This window comes from Homo sapiens, chromosome 4 (assembly GCF_000001405.40).
Source record: "Homo sapiens chromosome 4, GRCh38.p14 Primary Assembly".
Taxonomy (NCBI): Eukaryota; Metazoa; Chordata; class Mammalia; order Primates; family Hominidae; genus Homo; species Homo sapiens.
The window spans coordinates 151,808,145-151,827,696 of NC_000004.12; the positions used below are offsets into that span (position 1 = coordinate 151,808,145).

General features: G+C 41.8%; 2 long non-coding RNA genes across 6 annotated transcripts in view, besides 1 other annotated feature; both read left to right on the forward strand.

Annotated features, from left to right (window-relative positions):
• Positions 1–19,552, forward strand: part of LOC127898557 (uncharacterized) — a 140,693-nt gene that overhangs the window by 8,786 nt on the left and 112,355 nt on the right. The gene's annotated exons all lie outside the window — the stretch shown is intronic.
• The window catches only part of LOC105377488 (uncharacterized), a 33,739-nt gene that overhangs the window by 8,786 nt on the left and 5,401 nt on the right, over positions 1–19,552 (forward strand). The window lies entirely within an intron of this gene.
• Positions 3,165–3,666: an enhancer, noted in NCBI's record as "NANOG hESC enhancer chr4:152732461-152732962 (GRCh37/hg19 assembly coordinates)". NCBI's record gives its function as "activates a minimal SCP1, AML or CMV promoter by ChIP-STARR-seq in naive H9 embryonic stem cells {active_cell/tissue: H9 hESC(naive)}" and the evidence as "EXISTENCE:reporter gene assay evidence [ECO:0000049][PMID:30033119]".

Consider the following 19,552-nt stretch of genomic DNA (forward strand, 5'->3'; position numbering starts at 1 on the left):
CAGGAACAGTGGTGTTCCACGTGTGTGTGCAGCCGCCCAGGGCAGCGGGAGCCTGCCCAGTGCCCCCGGAGCAGCTGAAGGAACACCTTCAAGAATGTAGCAGGCTAAGTGCATTTAGAGGTTATCAGTGTGTCAGCGAGGCAACCTCTTTGTGGGGATCATTTAATTAATGTTAATTGCTCTTGGCCTGTTGTGTGACTCTGGCAGGATTTACGGAAAATCACCGTAATCTAAAACCCTATAAAAGAGTCATTGCTTTTAGAGGCCTTGTGACTCATGCCCGGAGACACCTTCTGATACTTGATGCATCACACAGATGTATAAATAATGCCCACATCTGCATAATCCTCAGAGGCATCAAGGCACTTCATTTTTGGTGGGGGCAGGTGCACCCAGGTGAAGAGCAGTGCTCCTCATATGTTATGATCTGGGTGGCAGTTGGTGAGAATTTGCTTTACAAAGAGAAATGATTTATCCAGTTTTATTACCCAATTCTGTGCTTTCATGGATTACATAAATTTTGTTATTGCCATCAGCCCAGTGGATGTTTAAAGTGGTTTCCATATTGCATGACACCCCATCCCTCCTCCTCTTAGCATCTCACAGGTCAGGGAGAGGAAGAAGTAGGCTTGAAATACACATAGTGACAGGTGATGGCTCATGAGGCACAATCCCAGGAAAGCTCGCAGAGCGCTTCCCAATGGCAGGCGCCTGCGCAAACACAGCTAGTAGGTTAGAAAGGGAATTATGGGGCTGGGACATACCTGTCTGTGCTAACCCCATGTCTGAGGTCACACTCATTTAAAGAAAAGAGCATGTTTGCCTTTTCAACATTGATCTTTACCTCCTTGCCCCTCCCCTCTTTTCTTAAGCTCTCTGTTCCCTTCAATTTGAAAGGGATGTAAGTGCATTTTGGACTCATTCGCCCTCTGTTTCAATTAATTACCCTCAAGAGTAACTTATTTTCCATACTTATCCTCCTGAGAGGAGTTGGGCCTCTGAAACTTTCACTCTTCAAGCTTCAAACAACAATTTCTTACAGTTATTTTTTTCCTAATATGAAGGATGTCTTACTTTTAACTTTGAAAACAATCTCTTTCATGATCCTGAAGATTTCTTTATCCTCACACATTCCATCCCTTCCCCAAACCCAGAGCATCATTGTCTTGCTTGAGATGAGACCAAATCCTACTCATCTTCCCTGAGTAATCCTTATTTTGGTTGAAGGCTGACAGTTTCTGGTTTGCTTTTGCACTTGCTGGTTCTCTCAATCCTCACTAAAATCCTGTAACCTAAACAGAGCAAGTATCTCAGTACCTATTTCACAGATAGAGAAACTAAGGTCAGGAAGCCTTTTTCAGGGAGCAGAGCGGGGGCCAGAATGAAGACGTCCAGCTTCCTGTACAGAGCAATTGTGGCCACCCCAGGGCCACCTCAGCACACTGGGTTTTCCACAGACTCTAGCTTTCCGGCACCATGATGGCAGCAGCACTGTGCTCACGGGCCAGCCTTGACAAATGTTCTCTGCTGTGCTGTGGGGCTGCCCTCATTTTATCCAGGGAAGGCCATGGCCACAGACCTCACTGGGTATGGCACTCTCTCTTGAGCTTGGTTTATCATCCTGTGTGGGCATGAGCCACGTGGGTGCTGTCGTAACAGCATTGGAGTCCCTACATATCTCCCCTAATTCTTCCCTGATCAGCCTGCAGCACAAATGCTCTGCTCTTCTCACAGGTCTTTTAGGCTATGGTAATTGCTCTGGGAGCAATGACCCATTTTTCCACACCGAACAGCATGCGCCATCTGCGGGCTTTCTCGCCCAAATGATTCAAATTCTCTTAAATCCAGTTTCACTGTCACTTGTCATTTGCTCTGTGTCCCAGCCTTGCATTGTCTGCTAATCTGGAGATCTGAATTTCTGTTGTTTTCCTCCTTTCCACCAGTAGATGAGTTGACAGGGATTCAGTGATTCCTAAGAAAGACAGATTTAAAAAAATGCTTCATTCACTCACTCATTCATTTATTATTGAGCACTTACCTTGCCCAAAGCCCAGTGCTGAATACTGGGGGACAGAAAGCTGGTCAAGGCCAGATGATTCCTGCTGGCCAGCAACAGATATGCCAACAACGACCCCCCCAGTGAACCAGAGCCAAATGAACAAGAAGGGGTAGCATGGAATATTAAATCCCCTCCACATCCCATTAGAATTAAGCTCCTAATGGTAAGGACGATAAACAGTCTTGCTTGCTGACAAATCCCCAGGACCTAGAAGAATGCTTGGCTTGTGTGGTGCTCAGTAAGTATTGAATTGAGTTTAAATTTACATTATTGACCCAGGTTCTCCACCCTCCCTTATTCACATCTTTGCCATACGACCAGGCAGCTCCTCTACTGGAGGAGAATACTTCCCCACTGCTCCACTTTGGGCTCCCATATGTGGCTTGCTTTGACCAATGGCATCCAGGGGAAGTACGTGACAATCTGTTAGTTCCAAGTCTAGGTCCCTAACAGCTGTCACGTATTTCCACTCTTTTTTGGCCTCTGTCACTGCCACAAGAAGAGCATGTCTTGTCTAGCCCACTGGTCCAAAGAGGATGAGACAGTAAAGAGGATCCAGACCCACAAACTTGCAGTGTAGAGCCAAATTCCCCAGCCTAGTACAGCCTATGTTAACTCCCTCTTCCAACCCACAGATGCAGGAGCAAGTCAGCCAAGATCAGCAGAGCCGCTTCAGCTGAGCCCAGCTGACCCACAGATGTATGAACATTGTTATTTTAAGATGTGGAGAATTGGGATGGTTTATTATGCAGCACTGCTGTGAAAATAGCTCACTGATACTGTCTCAGTTTGCTACCTGATTTCTTTCTGGGACTGGATCTGTAAGGCATTATTTGCCCTCATGGTTGCTCCAAAACCAAGGGTTGGCAAACTTTGTAAAGGCTCAGACAGCAAATATTCTAGGTTTTGTGGGCCACATACAGTTTCTGTTGCATTCTCCCTCACTTGCTCTCTCTCTTTTTTCTCCCCAGGCTTTGGTTTGGATTTGGCCCATGAATTATAATTTATCCAATCCCATTCTAAACCACCAGAAACATACTAATTGGTAAAGGTTTTTATCTAGACTTCAGATTCAAATCAGAATTCCATCTATTTATTGAGGGCCTACTATAAGCCAGGACTCTTCCAGGCACTTTAAAATTCATTGTCTTATTTTATTGTGTGAAGATGACTTTCCCATCAAGGAGATAAGCACAAGGGGCTTCAATAAAATTATGGCAGACACAAGCTAATTTTTTTCTCCCATCAAAGAACCTATAGCCTGTGCTTCATTATTACCTGTGTCTCACTTTTATAGGTGAGACTGACCCTGGAAATCAGAGGCAGATTTGAGGTTCTCTTGACTTTCACTTTGGACTATAAAGCTGGTCACATTGTGATTTGTAAGCTGGGCTACTCAGTAGGGTGCTGGCAGCACTTGAAAAGAAAGGGTAAACAGGATGTGACTTCCTGGATCACCACTTTTTTTAGTGGCAAAAAGTTTAATTAACATAAGTGTTAATTTCAAATGTTTTAAAATATGAAAGGACATTATTAAAAGAATGGGGGAAAATCACATGAAGTTTCAAGATAATATAAGACTTAAAGACATTTTGAATTTTTAGCTTTGGACTCATGCCCAAGCCTCTATTACTATCTTTTCAACCCTTTTTTGTTATTAAGGGACTTTGTTAGGAAATTGTTAGGAAAGTTAGAGAAACATCTCCCTACCTCCCTCCCTCCCTCCCTCTCTCCCTCTCTTCCTTCCTTCCTTTTTTCTTTCTTTTTTTTTTTTTTGCAAAAGCACAGGTGTTAGAGGTTGTTTTTTTTTAAAGAGCTCAATACATTTTTTATTTGATTACATGTTGAATGAATATTTTAGATATACTGGGTGAAATAAAATGTATTATTAAAGTTAATTTTACTTATTTTTCTTTACTTCTTTTTCATGTGGCCACTAGCAAATTTAAAATTATAGCATGGCTTGCATTTGTGGTGCATATTGTATTTTTGTTGTCCAGTGCTGATCTATAATATAGCATCCAAGTTGATTGTCTACAGAGTTCTTTTTTCATGGGGCCTCTTGAATAAACGTAGCTCTTTTTTCCTTCTTCTTCTTCTTCCTTTTTTTTTAGATGGAGTGTTATGCTGTTGCGTAGGCTGGAGTGCAGTGGCGCGATCTTGGCTCACTGCAACCTCTTCCTCTCAGGTTCAAGTGATTCTCCTGCCTCAGTCTCCCGAGTAGCTGGGATTACAGGCAGCATGCCAGGCTAATTTTTGTATTTTTAGTAGAGATGGGGTTTTGCCATGTTGGCTCCACCTTTAGACTGTCCCTTTAGACTACTGCAACACTTAAATGTTGCACTCGACCTCCCAAAGTGCTGGGATTATAGGCATGAGCCACTGCACAGGTGCTAGAGTTTTATGTAGTCTTTTTGGCCTCCTGTCTTGCTTGCAGCAGTTTTGTTATAAGAAGCAGTACAATCCATAGGGTCCTCTTATTTAGAGAAAACTGTCCCACCAAAGATAATCGCCCAGCTGGAGTCCAGTTTCTCTCCTTATAGACCAAGCTCCAGATTCTTGGGCTTTGAGCATCCAGAATTTGTTGTCCTGAACTTCACCTAGTGTGCATATCCCAGCCTTATGAGGTGGCCTGGGGCAGCTCTTTGTACAGGATGGTAATAGGGCGGAGAGAGTTTGAACACTGTCTTCTTATATTAATAAGAAAAATAAAACGAAATAGTGGTAAAGTGTTGGGATGGCGAAAATTTTGGGGGATGGTATGGAGAGATAATGGGCGATGTTTCTCAGGGCTGCTTTGAGCGGGATTAGGGGCGGCATGGGAACCTAGAGTGGGAGAGATTAAGCTGAAGGAAGATTCTGTGGTAAGGGGTGATATTGTGGGGTTGTTAGAAGAAACATTTGTCATTTAGAATGATTGGTGATGGCCTGGATACAGTTTTGTATGAATTGAAAAACTAAACGGAATAAGAGAAGGAGAAAAACAGGTATTAAAGGACTAAGAATTGGAAGGACCTAGGACATCTAATTAGAGAGTACCTAAGGAGGTTCAGCATAGCCTTGCCAGTAAGGATTATTTATTTACTTTAAGAGTTAAGAGTGGTGGTTTGGGGATAGCACCAGGAGATATCAGCTGTGATGGCTTGGAGAAACAGTGTAAACTGGCAGTGTAAACAAGAGCAGGGCATGTATGAGTAGTTGAGAACGGTGAATAGGAGTATGACTAGACAGAAGACAGTAGGGATGACAAGTTTTTTGGGGCACAATCCAAGTTGGTCTGGTGTCTGGAATGAGACTGGGGCCTAATAAAAAGGAGCGTCTATACGGGAGCTTAAATGGGCTGTACTTTGTAGCATTTTGAGGACAGGCCTGAATTCTGAGAAGGGGAAGTGGTAAAAGTATTGTCCAGTCCTTTTTAAGTTGGTGGCTGAGCTTGGTGAGGTGTGTTTTTAAAAGACCTTTAGTCCGTTCTACTTTTCTTGAAGACAGAGGACCGTAAGGGATATAAAGGTTTCACTGAATACTAAGAGCCCGAAAAACTGCTTGGCTGATTTGACTAATAAAGGCTGGTCTGTTATCAGACTATAGAGGTGGGAAGGCCAAACTGAGGAATTATTTCCAACAGAAGGGAAGAAATGACTACGGTGGCTATCTCAGACCCTGTAGGAAAGCCTCTACCTATTCAGTGAAAGTGTCTACCTAGACTAAGAGGTATTTTAGTTTCCTGATTCAGGACATGTTGAGGAGTAAAGCTAATTTGCCAGTCCTGGGCGGGGGCAAATCCCTGAGCTTGATGTGTAGGGAAGGGAGGGGGCCTGAATAATCCCTAAGGTGTAGTAGAATAGCAGATGGAACACTGATAAGTTATTTCCTTGAGGATAGATTTCTACGATGGAAAGGAAATGAGAGGTTCTAAGAGGCGGGCTAGTGGCTTGCACTATAGCATAGCCTGCCTTTGCTGGTGTGTGGCGATTAGGCCTGGTGGAACCGCCATCAATAAATCAAGCATGATCAGGGTGAAGAACAGGAAAGAAGGAAATATGGGGAAATGGGGTGAATGTCAGGTAGATCAGAGAGATACAGTCATGAGGGTCAGGTGTGGTATCAGGAATAATGTGGGAGGCCGGATTGAAGTCTGGGCCAGGAACAATGGTAATTGTGGGACTTAACAAAGAGTGAGTACAGCTGAAGGAGCCGGGGAGCAGAAAGTATATGTGTCAGGTATGAGGAAGAAAATTGATTTTGGAAGTTATGAGAAATGTAGAGAGTGAGTTGAGCATAGTTTGTGATTTTTAGGGCCTCTAAAAGTATTAGGGCAGGAGCAGCCACTGCACACAGACATGAGGGCTAGACTAAAACAGTAAGGTCAAGTTATTTGGACAGAAAGGCTACAGGTGCGGTCCTGGCTCTTGTGTAAGAATTCTGACCATACTAACTATGCCTAGGAAGGAAAGGAGTTGTTGTTTTATAAGGGATTGAGGTTTAGGAGATTAATTGGACATGATCAGCAGGGAGAGCACGTGTGTTTTTATGAGAATTATGCCGAGGTAGGTAACGGATGGAGAAGAAATTTGAGCTTTGGAGGGGGATACCCAATATCCTTTGGAGAATAAATGCAGAAGGAGCAGAAGTGTGTCTTGTTGAGAAGATTCAAAGGAGGGGCTACAAAGAAGAAGGTCATCAATATATTGAATAAGGTGAGAAGCAGAGGGGTGGAAAGAAAGTAAATCATGAGAAAGAGCTTGGCTGAAGTAATGAGGACTGTCCCTGAAACCTTGCGGCAGCACAGCCAAGGTAAGCTGCTGGGACTGATGGGTGTCAGGGTCAGTCCAGGTGAAAGCAAAGAGAGGCTGGGACGAGGAGTGCAGGGGAATAGTGAAAAAAGCATCTTTAAGATCAAGAATGGAATAGTGAGTTGTGGAGGAAGGTATTGAGGACAAAGGAGTGTACGGTTTTGGCACAACAGGGGGGATAGGCAAAACAATTTGGTTGATAAGGTGCAGATCCTGAACTAATCTGTAAGACTTGTCAGGTTTTTGGACAGGTAAAATGGGGGAATTGTAAGGAGAGTTTATAGGTTTTAGAAGCCCATGCTGTAGCAGGCGAGTGATAACAGGCTCTAATCCTTTTAAAGCGTGCTGTGGGATGGGATATTGGCGTTGAGCGGGGTAAGGGTGATTAGGTTTTAATGAGATGGTAAGGGGTGCATGATCGGTCACCAAGAAGGGAGTAGAGGTATCTTATACTTGTGGGTTAAAGTGGGGGAATACAAGAGGAGGATGCAAAGGAGGCTTTGGATTGGGAAGAAGGGCAGCAATGAGATGTAGCTGTAATCCAGGAATAGTCAGTGAAGCAGATAATTTAGTTAAAGTGTCTCGGCCTAACAAGGGAACTGGGCAGGTGGGGATAACTAAAAGGAGTGCTTAAAAGAGTGTTGTCTAAGTTGGCACCAGAGTTGGGGAGTTTTAAGAGGTTTAGAAGCCTGGCTGTCAATACCCACAACAGTTATGGAGGCAAGGGAAACAGGCCCTTGAAAAGAAGGTAATGTGGACTGGGTAGCCTCCGTATTGATTAAGAAGGGGACGGACTTACCTTCCACTGTGAGAGTTATGTGAAGCTTGGTGTCCGTGATGGTCTAGAGGGCTTCCGAGGTGATCGGGCAGCATCAGTCTTCAGCCACTAAGCTGAGAAGGAGTCAGTCAGAGAGCCTTGGGCCAGAGTTCCAGGGGCTCTGGGAGTGGCTGCCAGGTGAGTTGAACAGTCTGATTTCCAGTGGGGTCCCGCACAGTTGGGACACGGCTTAGGAGGAATCCTGGGCTGTGGGCATTCCTTGGCCTGGTGGTCAGATTTCTGGCACTTGTAGCAAGCTCCTGGGGGAGGAGGTTCTGGAGGAACGCCTGGCCACTGCGGTTCAGCGTTTGGAAGTTCTTGCGTGCTGGAGATGTGGCTGGGGTTTGTCTCACTGTGGAGGCAAGGCATTGCAACTTTTTTCTATTATTGTACACCTTGAAGGCAAGGTTAATTAAATCCTGTTGTGGGGTTTGAGGGCCAGAATTTAATTTTTGGAGTTTTATTTAATGTCAGGAGCAGATTGGGTAATAAAATATATTTTGAGAATAAGACGGCCTTTTGACCTTTTAGGGTCTAGGGCTGTAAAGTGTCTCAGGGTTGCTGCCAAACAAGTCATGAACTGGGCTGGATTTTTATATTTGATGAAAAAGAGCCTAAATGCTATCTGATTTGGGATAAAGAAAAAGGAGCATTAACCTTGACTATGTCTTTAGCTCCAGCCACCTTTTTAAGAGTAAATTGCTGGGCAGGTGGGGGAGGGCTAGTCATGGAAGGAAGCTGTAAGCCAGACCAGGTGTGAGGAGGGGAGGTGATAAAATGATTATAGGGTGTGGGAGCAGAGGCTGAGGAAGAATTAGGAGCTAACTCGGCCTGGTGAGGAGGGGAGAGGTCAGATAGGTCTGTAGAAAAGGAAGATTAGAAAGACTCAGTGACGCTTGGGGTTGGGACTGAGGGGACAGGTGGGAGGGAAAGAAGGAAGATTTGGGATGAGTTGCACTGGGAACAGAGACTAGAGAGGGACCGATGTATAAAAGAATGCCTGGACATCAGGCACCTCAGACCACTTGCCCAGTTTACGACAAGAATTATTTAGATCTTGCAGGATGGAAAAACTGAAAGTGCCGTTTTCTGGCTATTTGGAACTACTGTCGAGTTTGTATTGGGGTCAAGTGGCATTGCAGAAGAAAATAAGACACTTAGATTTTAGGTCAGGTGAGAGTTGAAGAGGTTTTAAGTTCTTAAGAACACAGGCTAAGGGAGAAGAAGGAGGAATGGAAGGTGGAATCTTGCCCAGAGTGAAGGAGGCAAGCCCAAAGAAAAGAGTAGAGACATGGAGAAGGGGTAGGGGGTTCTTGCCCTCCAGAAAAGCAGAGAAGGGGTCGACGTGCAGAGATATGAGGTTGGGGCATGGAAATAAGGGATCGGGGTGCAGAGATATGAGGTTGGGGTACTTGCCCCTCCCCTAGAAAAGCGGGACTTGCCGCTAAGGGTGAAGGAGAAGGGGTTGGGGGTTTCTTGCCCCCCAGAAAGGCGAAGAAGGGGTAGAGACACAGAGAGAAGGGGTTGGGGTCCTTGTCCCTCCCCCAGAAAAGCAGGACTTGCCACTAAGGGTGAAGGACCAAGGCAGGCATCCCTGCGTGGTCTCACACCTCTGAAACGTGGGTGAATAATCAGAGAGGCGTACCTGCAATGATTAAACACCAAGGGAAGGCTGCCTTCCCAGTCTGTGACCGGCACTGGAGTTTTGGGTCCACGGATAAAACGTGTCTCCTTTGTCTCTACCAGAAAATGAAAGGAATTGAAATTAAAAGAAGGGAGAGATTGAAGTGTGGCACCAAGATTGAAAGGAGAAAGAGGTTGAGGGATAATGAGGGAGGTTGGAGAAGAGGGTAAAAAGAGGCCGCTTACCAGATTTGAAATTGGTGAGATGTTTCTTGGGCTAGTCGGTCTGAGGACCTGAGGTCGTAGGTGGATCTTTCTCATGGAGCAAAGAACAGGAGGACAGGGGATTGATCTCCCAAGGGAGGTCCCGCGATCCAAGTCACGGCACCCAATTTCATTCGTGTCTGTGTGAAGAGACCACCAAACAGGCTTTGTGTGAGCAATAAAGCTGTTTATTTCACCTGGGTGCAGGTGGGCTGAGTTCGAAAAGAGAGTCAGCAAAGGGAGATAAGGGTGGGGCCGTTTTATAGGATTTGGGTAGGTAAAGGAAAAAGGGGGGTTGTTCTCTGGCAGGCAGGAGTGGGGGGTCACAAGGTACTCAATGGGGGAGCTTTTGAGCCAGGATGAGCCAGGAGAAGGAATTTCACAAGACAATGTCATCAGTTAAGGCAGGAACAGGCCATTTTCACTTCTTCTGTGGTGGAATGTCATCATTTAAGGCAGGAACCAGCCATCTGGATGTGTACGTGCAGGTCACAGGGGATATGATGGCTTAGCTTGGGCTCAGAGGCCTGACAAACACTCAGGCTGCGATGTCCACATGCAGGCATGCCAGCTCTCCTGGTGCTGCAGGGAGTGGGGGTAGGAAGAGAAGTGTGTGAGCCATAGGCTGAGGCCTCTGTTTGCACCCTTGCTGGGGCCCACAGATGTTTAGGATGACCCCAATTCTAAGTGCATGCAGGTAATGCTATGCTCTGCTGATCTGGTGGTTCTCGTGTATAGAAACACTAATTAATGACAAAATTTAGGAAGTGTCGCTGGGCCTGCTTTTGTGTGTTCACCTGTTTATTTTCCCTTTTGAAAAATCTTTAGGTTGTGAGGCGATTTTAAAAATTTAAGGCAAAAGTTGTAAAAAGGTCAAAATTTCCTCTGCATTTAAAGTGGTTTCTTGTCCATATACCCCTGTACTTATGAAGATGCTTACCTTTTTAGTCCAGGTTTTTATTCTGCTGTTGGTTCAAGCTCCTTTCATCAGCTAGAGGTCATCTGATAAAATATGCTTAGAATTGGCAATTCTTTTAATTTGGAGAATATTAAGCACTGATTTCAGGACCTCTCTAGTCATTTCTTTCAGCATTTAAACATTAAAAAATGAATATGTTATATAAAAAATAGCTTCATTTAAGTGTTGCAGTAGTCTAAAGGTACAAAATAGTGTATGGTGAAAAGTAAGTCACCTGCCCACTCTTGTCCTCTAATTGACCCTTTGGATGCAACCACTGTTATACATTTCTGATATAGAGGCATATATGTATATAAAGTTTTCCTTTATAAACACAAACAAAGGTCTACTGCACACATGTAACTTGGGAACATTCAATGTCAGTACATACCCAGCCACATCTTTCTTTTTAATGAGTACACAGCATAAATGGAAGAAATTTGGGCTTTAATTATGGAAGATATGGTAAAGTTTGGAATTCAATATTGTGGTGTTATTACATGTATTATATATTACATATATATCTTCTATCTATCTATCTATCTATCTATCTATCTATCTATCTATCTATCTGTTTTTGTCCATGGTTTCTGGCTCATAACTCCCATAAACCCTGTTACAGGCTTTTGTTATAATGATGGGTGTGTTAAGCCTCAGAAGACAGAATCTATCTGAACTTCTCCTGCTCTCCTTTCACTTTCCCCAAGGCAGGACTCTAATCTTCCCTGCCTTTATGATTGCCAGTTATAAGCCCCTCATTCTAGAGAGGGTCCAGCCCCATACCCTGGGGAAGGAATGCTGATATCATGAAGCTTCCATAAAAATCCACGAGGACTGGGTTTGGAGAGCTTCTGGATAGCCAAACACATTGAGGTTCCTGGAGGGTGGTGCTCACAGGGAGGGCATGGAAGCTCCACCCACTTCCCTCATGCCTGTCCTGTGCACCTCTTCATCTGTATCCTTTGTAATATCCTTTATAGTATATTGGTAAATGTGTTTCCCTGAGTTCTGTGAGCCCCTCCAACAAATTAATCTAAGAAGGGGTCATGGGAGCCCCAAGTTGAAGCCAGTGGGTCAGAAGTTCGACTGGTGTCTGAAAGGTGGGGGCCAGTTTTAGTGACTGAACCTTCAATTTGTGGAATCTGAAGCTATCTCCAGGTAGTGTCAGAGTTGACTTGGAGGACACCCAGCTGGTGGCCACTGCTTGGTGGTGGGGAAAAAAACCCACACATTTGGTCACAGAAGTCTTCTGTGTTGATTGGTTTTTGTGGTGTGAGAGCAGAGAAAAAGCACAAATAAGTTTTTCTGAAATAAATGTTATATGCTATTTAGTGAAAACTTTTCAAGAAGCCCATCCCCAGTTCACCTAAAGCAGGGGTCAGCAAACTGTCACCCCAGCTAAATCTGGCCCACTGCCTATTTTTATATGACCCACGAACTATGGCATTTATACCTTAAAAGGCAAAAGAAGAATAGTATACCATGTCATGTAAAAATTATATGAAATTCAAATTTCAGTGTTTATAAATAAAGTTTTATTGGAACACAGCCACACTCGATCACTTATGTATTATCAATGGCTGCTTTTGCATGATTATGGCAGAGTTGAGGTGTTGGGACAGAGACCAAATGGCTGCAAAGCTGGAAATATTTACCCTCTGCTTTATTAGAGGAAAAGTTTGCTGACCGCTGACCTAATCACAGATATAGTTCAACACTTTGATCACTTAAAGTTTGGTAATGGGAGTATATGGACAGCACGCATGTGGGGAATTAGAAAATTCTCCAAAGTGTTTGTCTTGCTGGGAGAAATTCTGGAATCTTTTGACTGGGCTAAATCTGGCATAATTTTAAATAAAAAAGAAAACTGATTATTTTATCTTATTTGAAATCCAAAAGACAAGATGTACTAATTATCAAAAGTTATTTAAAAGTTCAATCAAAAACAGACTTACTAATGGATTGAAGTGGATAACTTCCTAACCTTTCTTGTAAGCATGGTCTTAATTTAGAAATTAGCTGTGCATTAGAAAATAAAATATGAAAGAGAGTTTGTACCAAAGGGAACTGACTTTTGGTCCTTTTCATTCTCAGGGATGAATCAGAGAGGCCAGACAAATGGTCTTTTCTCAAATCTGGAGCTGAGTAGAATTTTTCAGACACAGTGAACCCTTACTCATGTGTTATTTAGGGATATATCATGGCTAATGTTTTTTTTCTCTCTAAACATTTAAAAATAAAAATACTGTATCTATAAGAAATGAAGTTTTTCCTTTTGGGCAATAGAGACAATAATAATATACACACTCACAGTTATTTGCATCCAAGAGACACAAAGTGCTCTCTCAACTTTAAATAAATAATATTAAGATCTTTTAGATGGCAAAAAAGAAAGCAAGATGCACCTAAGTCATGAGGAAATTGATGTTTCAGATCACATATCTATTCTAACAATAGTGAAAAGCAATAAATTAAGAGGAAAAATGTAACCGCCAAGAAACATAGCTAGAAAAGAAAAATTTTTGGCCAGCCTCACTCATCCTTGACTAGCTTTTCAGAACTGGACATAAGAGTGGCAGATGGAAACTGAGAACAGTAAAGATTATAGATAAGAGAAGAGAAAGAGTAGTATACCTTCTGGAAAGCTGTCCATCTATGATCTTAAGAGCTGTCACCTATGAATTGTTTCATCAAGCCCAAAATGATCAATATTTGTTATGTGAAGTTTTGGGGGAGTAAGGGTAATGTAAGCGTTCTTGTTCTAAAGAAAAGGAAATTGAGGATAAGAGACGTTAGTGCTTTATCTGAGTTAGTGCTCAAAGCTGAAACCATTACCAGACATTTTGAAACAGCTAACCAGCAATTCCGTTTTCTTCCTTAATCATGGATTGAGCACCTCCTATGTTGAAAGCATTGTACCAGGCATAATAGAAAAAAAAAAGATACGTAAAACAAGCCCCTTGTCTTTGAAACCTATAGTTTAGTGGAGACATAGAATCCAAGCCACCAAGCACTCTTGGTAACATTATCCACAACGCTGGTTGAATGACCCAAAGAAAGACTTGTAGAAATTAAGCATGTGAGAAACTGTTTTAACATTTTATTTTCAGTAAATAAAAGAGAAGTGTTTCAACTGGAGGTCAGATGCAAAATTAAGAGTGGGGCATGTGAATCTGTTCTAAGTGATGGGCTGTAGGACTCTCCTGTGTTGCCAGAACTGGAAGAGACACCATTAGAAAACCCACTGAGCTTAAATTAACATCCTTTCCAGGTGGATCTGGAGGCTGAATTGATGGGCACAGTGGGTCAAATTATTTTTTACAGATTTAAATCTTTGATTAAAAAATCTCTTTTTAATCTTCGAACCAATTGGAGTTTATTTTGGTGAATTTTAGATTTTTTTTGTTCCAAATAACAAATGGTCCCAGCACCATTTGTTGAATAATGAATTGTTCCTTTCCCCCACTGATTTGTGAAAATATCAATTGTCACCATTTCCTGAATATCTGTTATGTATCAGGTGCTTTGATATGTTTTGTAATGGATTTGTGCCTTTTCTAGGTGATGCAAAATCTGAAATTCCTTCCTGCATTTGATAAATTGTCTACCTTATGAATCTTGCTAGGGAAGGAGAGCTTGCCTTCACTATAAAACTTGAAAATGCCAAGAACTTATTTTCCTAGACTCCTCTGAACTTAGGTTAGGAGCAACCAATCAACAGACCCTCTCTGGAATTTACAACTGGATCTATTGATTCAAAGAGGGTGGACCAAGCCAATGCCATTCTGATGAGTGATCCAGCAACAACTGCTGTCTTGGAGCATATGTGGCCATGCCAGCAGTGACACCCAGGATTCAGTGGTAGGGCTAGCAGTCCTCACATGCTCTTTGGGGGCATGAATTCCTGTGGTCCTGGCTGCTGTCTAGCCTTCCTTGTTCTTCCCTTTTCCCAAGACTGTTTCTCTGCCCTTCTCAGAAATTTTGTAAGCAACACAAGAGCCCTGAATAAATTCCTCATCTGCCCAGATTAGCCAGATTATGTCTCTGCCACTTGTAACTAAAAACCTTGACTAATACATGTAGGATATCATTTGATTCTCAAATCGTCACACCTTAAAGATACATATCACCATCCCCATTCCATTTTAGGTAATTAATATTCAGTAAGAGTATTAACTTGCTCAAGAGTGCATGGACTGGAATTCAAATCCAGGTTTGAATTTATCTGATTCTGAAGTTCATACTCTTTCTACTCTATCACACAATTCCAACATTATCATAAACTATGACACACACACACATACATATGAGTGCTCTCTCTCTCTCAAGGCAGAAACTATATGTAATTTTTTGGTGTATGCTTTCATTATGCTCCATTGGTATAGCCTAGTGCTGCCATCACACTGTTTGATTTATTGCACCTTTATAATAAGTTTTAAATTTGAGTAGAGTAAGTTCTCCTTTATTCTTTTAAATCCTTTTCTTGCCTCTTTTTGAATGTTTCTTTTCCCAGATGAGCAATTGGATAATTTTGCAAAGTTTTCCCCAAATGATGGAGGAACAAATTAGCAGCTTGAATTTGAGGTGCTTAATGTTATTTTCACTTAACAGGGTTACATGAGGTAACCTTCATCGCTCCCACATGTGTATGTGTGCACACATTCACGCACACGCTCACAAATATGTACCTATATAAAGACTTTTTGTACTTATATAAAGACTCCTTGTTTGTTAGCTTCAGCATATTTTCAAATTCTGTAGAGGCAGAAAGCATGGCAGTATTGGTCCAAGAAGCCGTTGGACATTGAGGCTGGTCAACAAATGGAAAGAAGATGCCTTGATAAGAGAGTAGCAGTGGGGAGGAAAATACTTCTTCGCAGGCTTTATTTCTTATATTGCTTTGTTCCTGCAGAAAGCAGCATGGTTCACTTTGATTCTTCCATTCTTTTCTCCAAGCATAATTTTTATGCTGTGGGAATTCTTTCCAAGCAACACTCGACAAATAAACCCCAGGAAAATGTCTGATTTGCGTTTGCACATAATTTTCCTGGTGTGGATTCTAGGTAATAGAAAGCCTAAATAATGTCCATGGTCCTGGAAGAATTTCTGTAATTATGGCTTTGTTGAGGCTCTGTTAAGAACCAATGAGACCCACAGTCCTCGTCTGGTCCAATAAACCAAGAGAGTAATTTCCACCTCTTTAAGTGGATATAGATTTGATACATAGCTGTTCATCACGAATTAATGAAAAGCCCCTACTTTTGATCCAGGAGGACACCAGGCTCTTCCTTCTCTCTTGCAGAAAAACATTCAAGTACAAACATCCTTGTGAGAATCCCCCATAGGAAATTCTATGCATCTGCTCAGATTAAAAAGGCATCAACTTATTTATTTCCTCTAATAGAGAGGGACTTCTCTGAATACAGAGTTCTCTCCTGAAAGGCCAGTGGCTTGGTTCTGGGAATTGCGAGATGTTAGCAATTGGCGTGATGCTCTTCATAGGAGATTCTGAGGATGTACAAATGCTGATACCCACATGTAAACTGTCCTGTGGAATCCAGCTGCCTTTGTTGCAGCACAGACTCAACAATGCCAGGATTTTTTTTTTTTTTCTGAGACGGAGTCTCGCTCTGTTGCCCAGGCTGGAGTGCAGTGGTGCGATCTCGGCTCACTGCAAGCTCCGCCTCTTGGGTTCACGCCATTCTCCTGCCTCAGCCTCCCAAGTAGCTGGGACTACAGGAGCCCGCCGCTACGCCTGGCTAATTTTTTGTATTTTTTAGTACAGATGGGGTTTCACCGTGTTAGCCAGGATGGTCTCGATTTCCTGACCTTGTGATCCAATGCCAGGAAATTTCTGAGGCTACACTTTTATTCCAGATCCAGGGTTATCCTTTTCTACCACAATCCACACAGGTATTTCTAGTCGGTCTCAGAATTGTGGATAACATCAGAAATGGAATGCAGCTTGTAGCAAGCCAGAGAGCTAACTTCTAAAATTAAATTAAGATTAGACATGGAACCTCATATCTTTGAAGCCGTGCTGCATAATAAGGTGGAACTGAATGCTGTGCCCAGGAAATTTATGCCTATTTGCAGCAACACTTCCGAAAAAAATTGAATTGATGAGCAGAGAGTTAATCATGTTGTAACAGCATATACAGTAATCTCATGAACCACTCTCCACTGGAGTTAATAATTAACTGCTACTGAGCTACCTAATAATGTGGCCTGGCTTGGCTTTCCATCAGCAAAGACCCGGCAACCAGGGACAATGGCTTCTGAGGACAGCCAGTCAAAAATTGCATTTGCCTATAGAAAACCTATGCTTTTACTTCGTCCTGATTTGGAACAGAGCTGGTTTCCTAGCTAAAGCTGTGGTGATAATGACTAGAAATGAATTTCTCATCTAGGCACATTCTGAAAGGCCCGTTCTGGGCATCCGTAAAGAAGAAAACTCGTAAGGTAACCTAAAAGGGACAAAATGATAGCTGCTGTAATTCATCTGTCTTTGAACAGCAGTCTGCCAGCCTGCCCAATTAGGTATTATTGGTCCTTTCACACATATTGTAGTGAAAAAAGAACTTGCTTTATCTTTAGAGAAACTTAGTTTTACTACTGATTCAAACAAATTAAAAATACAGATTTGGTCTCCTTTCAGTTTTTTGAAATGTCCAATACTGAGTATTTGGTAACCAGTATGCATGTGATTCCTGTAGTGATCATGAGCTCTGATATTGCTATGTATACAAAATGCTTTAGAAATCAGCTCACAATGCAGTTTCCTACTGTGGTTTGAGTGAATGATTCATGACTACAAGTTTAAATGGTAGGTAGATATGGAGAAAAGTCATCTGAGTTTTTAAATGATGACCCCTTTCCAGGTAAAGTGTCAAAAATAATTATTCCTCTTAATTTTTTCTGGACTCCAGTGAAAATGTACCATGCCATTTTTCTCCCACCTTAAGGGAACAATTATCCATTGCTCAAAGACTAATGCAAGAGTCTGTAATCTTAATTGAACAAAACATATTTATCTCCCCCAAATTTAAATGTAAATCCAAAATTTAAAAAGGTTGACCAAAATTGCTTAAAATATTGTTCACCAAAACTAGGAAAAAGTCCAAGCAACTATGAGTTACTTATGTCATAAGTAAAAAAGCATTTGGTGGCTTCACAATTTTTAATGTAGCCAAGTGGTGTTGAAAATTATGGTTCTTCTGACAAGGTGAAGGTTCTCCAGGGGTCTGTCTCTCATGGGCGAAAAGGCAAAGTCATTTCATATCAGATGTGTGCTATTTAGATAACTGTTCCGGGTTCTAAAGAAGTTAACAATCATCCAAATGGTGATAACTTACTAAAATAATGCATGCTGGTCAGCCCCAGAATACATGATTCACAAAAGGAACTGAAATATACTCATTAATCCTAGAGGCTGAAGATCCCAGAACAGTTACTGAAAGTTCTATATAACTTGCCGTTTCTGTAATTTCCAAACAAGGGGCTTCTAAAACCTATGGAGTCCCTTAGACCTCTGCTGAGCTCTTGGTTGATCAGTAACATTGTCAATGAGCAGTAATATTTTGAAAGGTATATTTTTTTCTGAGCAGTAATATTTTTCTGAGCAGTAATATTTTGAAAGATATATTTTTTCCTGATCAGAGCTCTTGGTTGATCAGTAACATTGTCAATGAGCAGTAGTATTTTGAAAGATATATTTTTTTCTGAGCAGTAGATCTCAACAGTGGGCTTAAAATATTCAATAAATCTTGGTGTAAACAGATGTGCTCTTGTGTTGTTCTTTTGAGAGAACACAGACAGAGTAGATTTAGCATAATTCTTAAGGGCCCTAGGACTTTCAGAATAGTAAATGAGCACTGTTCTACTTTAAGTCTCCAGCTGCATTAGCCCTTAACAAGAGAGTCAGCCTGTCCTTTGAAGCTTTGAAACCAGGCACTGATTTCTCCTTTCTGGCTAGGAAAGTCCTAGATGACATCTTCTTGCAATAAAAGGCTACTTCCTCTACATTGAAGATCTATTATTTAGTGTAGCCACCTTCATCAATTATCTTACCTAGATCTTCTGGATAACTTGCTGCAGCTTGTATGTCAGCACTTGCTGTTTCACCTTGCACTTTTATGTTATAGAGATGGTTTCTTTTCTTAAACCTCATGAACCAACCTCTGCTAGCTTCCCACTTTTCTTCTGCAGCTTCCTAACCTCTCTCAGCCTTCATAGAGTTAAAGAGAGTTAGGGCCTTGATCTGGATTAGGCTCTGGCTCAAAAGAATGTTGTAAGATTTGATCTTCTATCCAGACCACTGAAACTTTCTCCATATTGGCAATGAGGCTGTTTCACCTTCTTATCATTCATGTATACACTGGAGTAGCACTTTTAATTTCCTTTGCATTCACAACTTGGCTAACTTTTTGGCACAAAAGGCCTAGCTTTTGGCCTGTCTCAGCTTTCAATATGTCTTCCTTCCTAAGCTTAATCATTTCTAGATTTTGATTTCAGGTGAGAGACATGCAACTGTTCTTTTCACTTGAGCACTTAGAGGCTTTTGTAGAGTTATTAATTGACCTAATTTCAACATTGTTGTGTCTCAGGGAATAGAGAGGCCTGAGGCAAGGGAATGAGATGGGAAATAGTTGGAGCAGTCAGAGCACACACATTTATGAATTTTTGCCATCTTACATGAGCATGTTTCATGGCACCCCAATATAATTATAATAGTAACATCAAAGACTGATCACAGATCATTATAACCAATTTAATAATAATGAAAAAGTTTGAAATATTATGAGAATTACTAAAATGTGACACAGAGACACAAGGAGAGTACTCGTTGCTGGAAAAATGCTTGAAAGATGCTTGACGCAGCGTTGCCATAAACATACAATTTGTTAAAAAAAAAAGCAATATCTGCAATATGCAATAAAGGGAAGTGCAATACAATGAAATATTCCTGTATTGGATAGTGCTGCCTTAATTAAAGAAGAAAATCAATATTTATTGAGAAGTTACAATGTGATAGACAT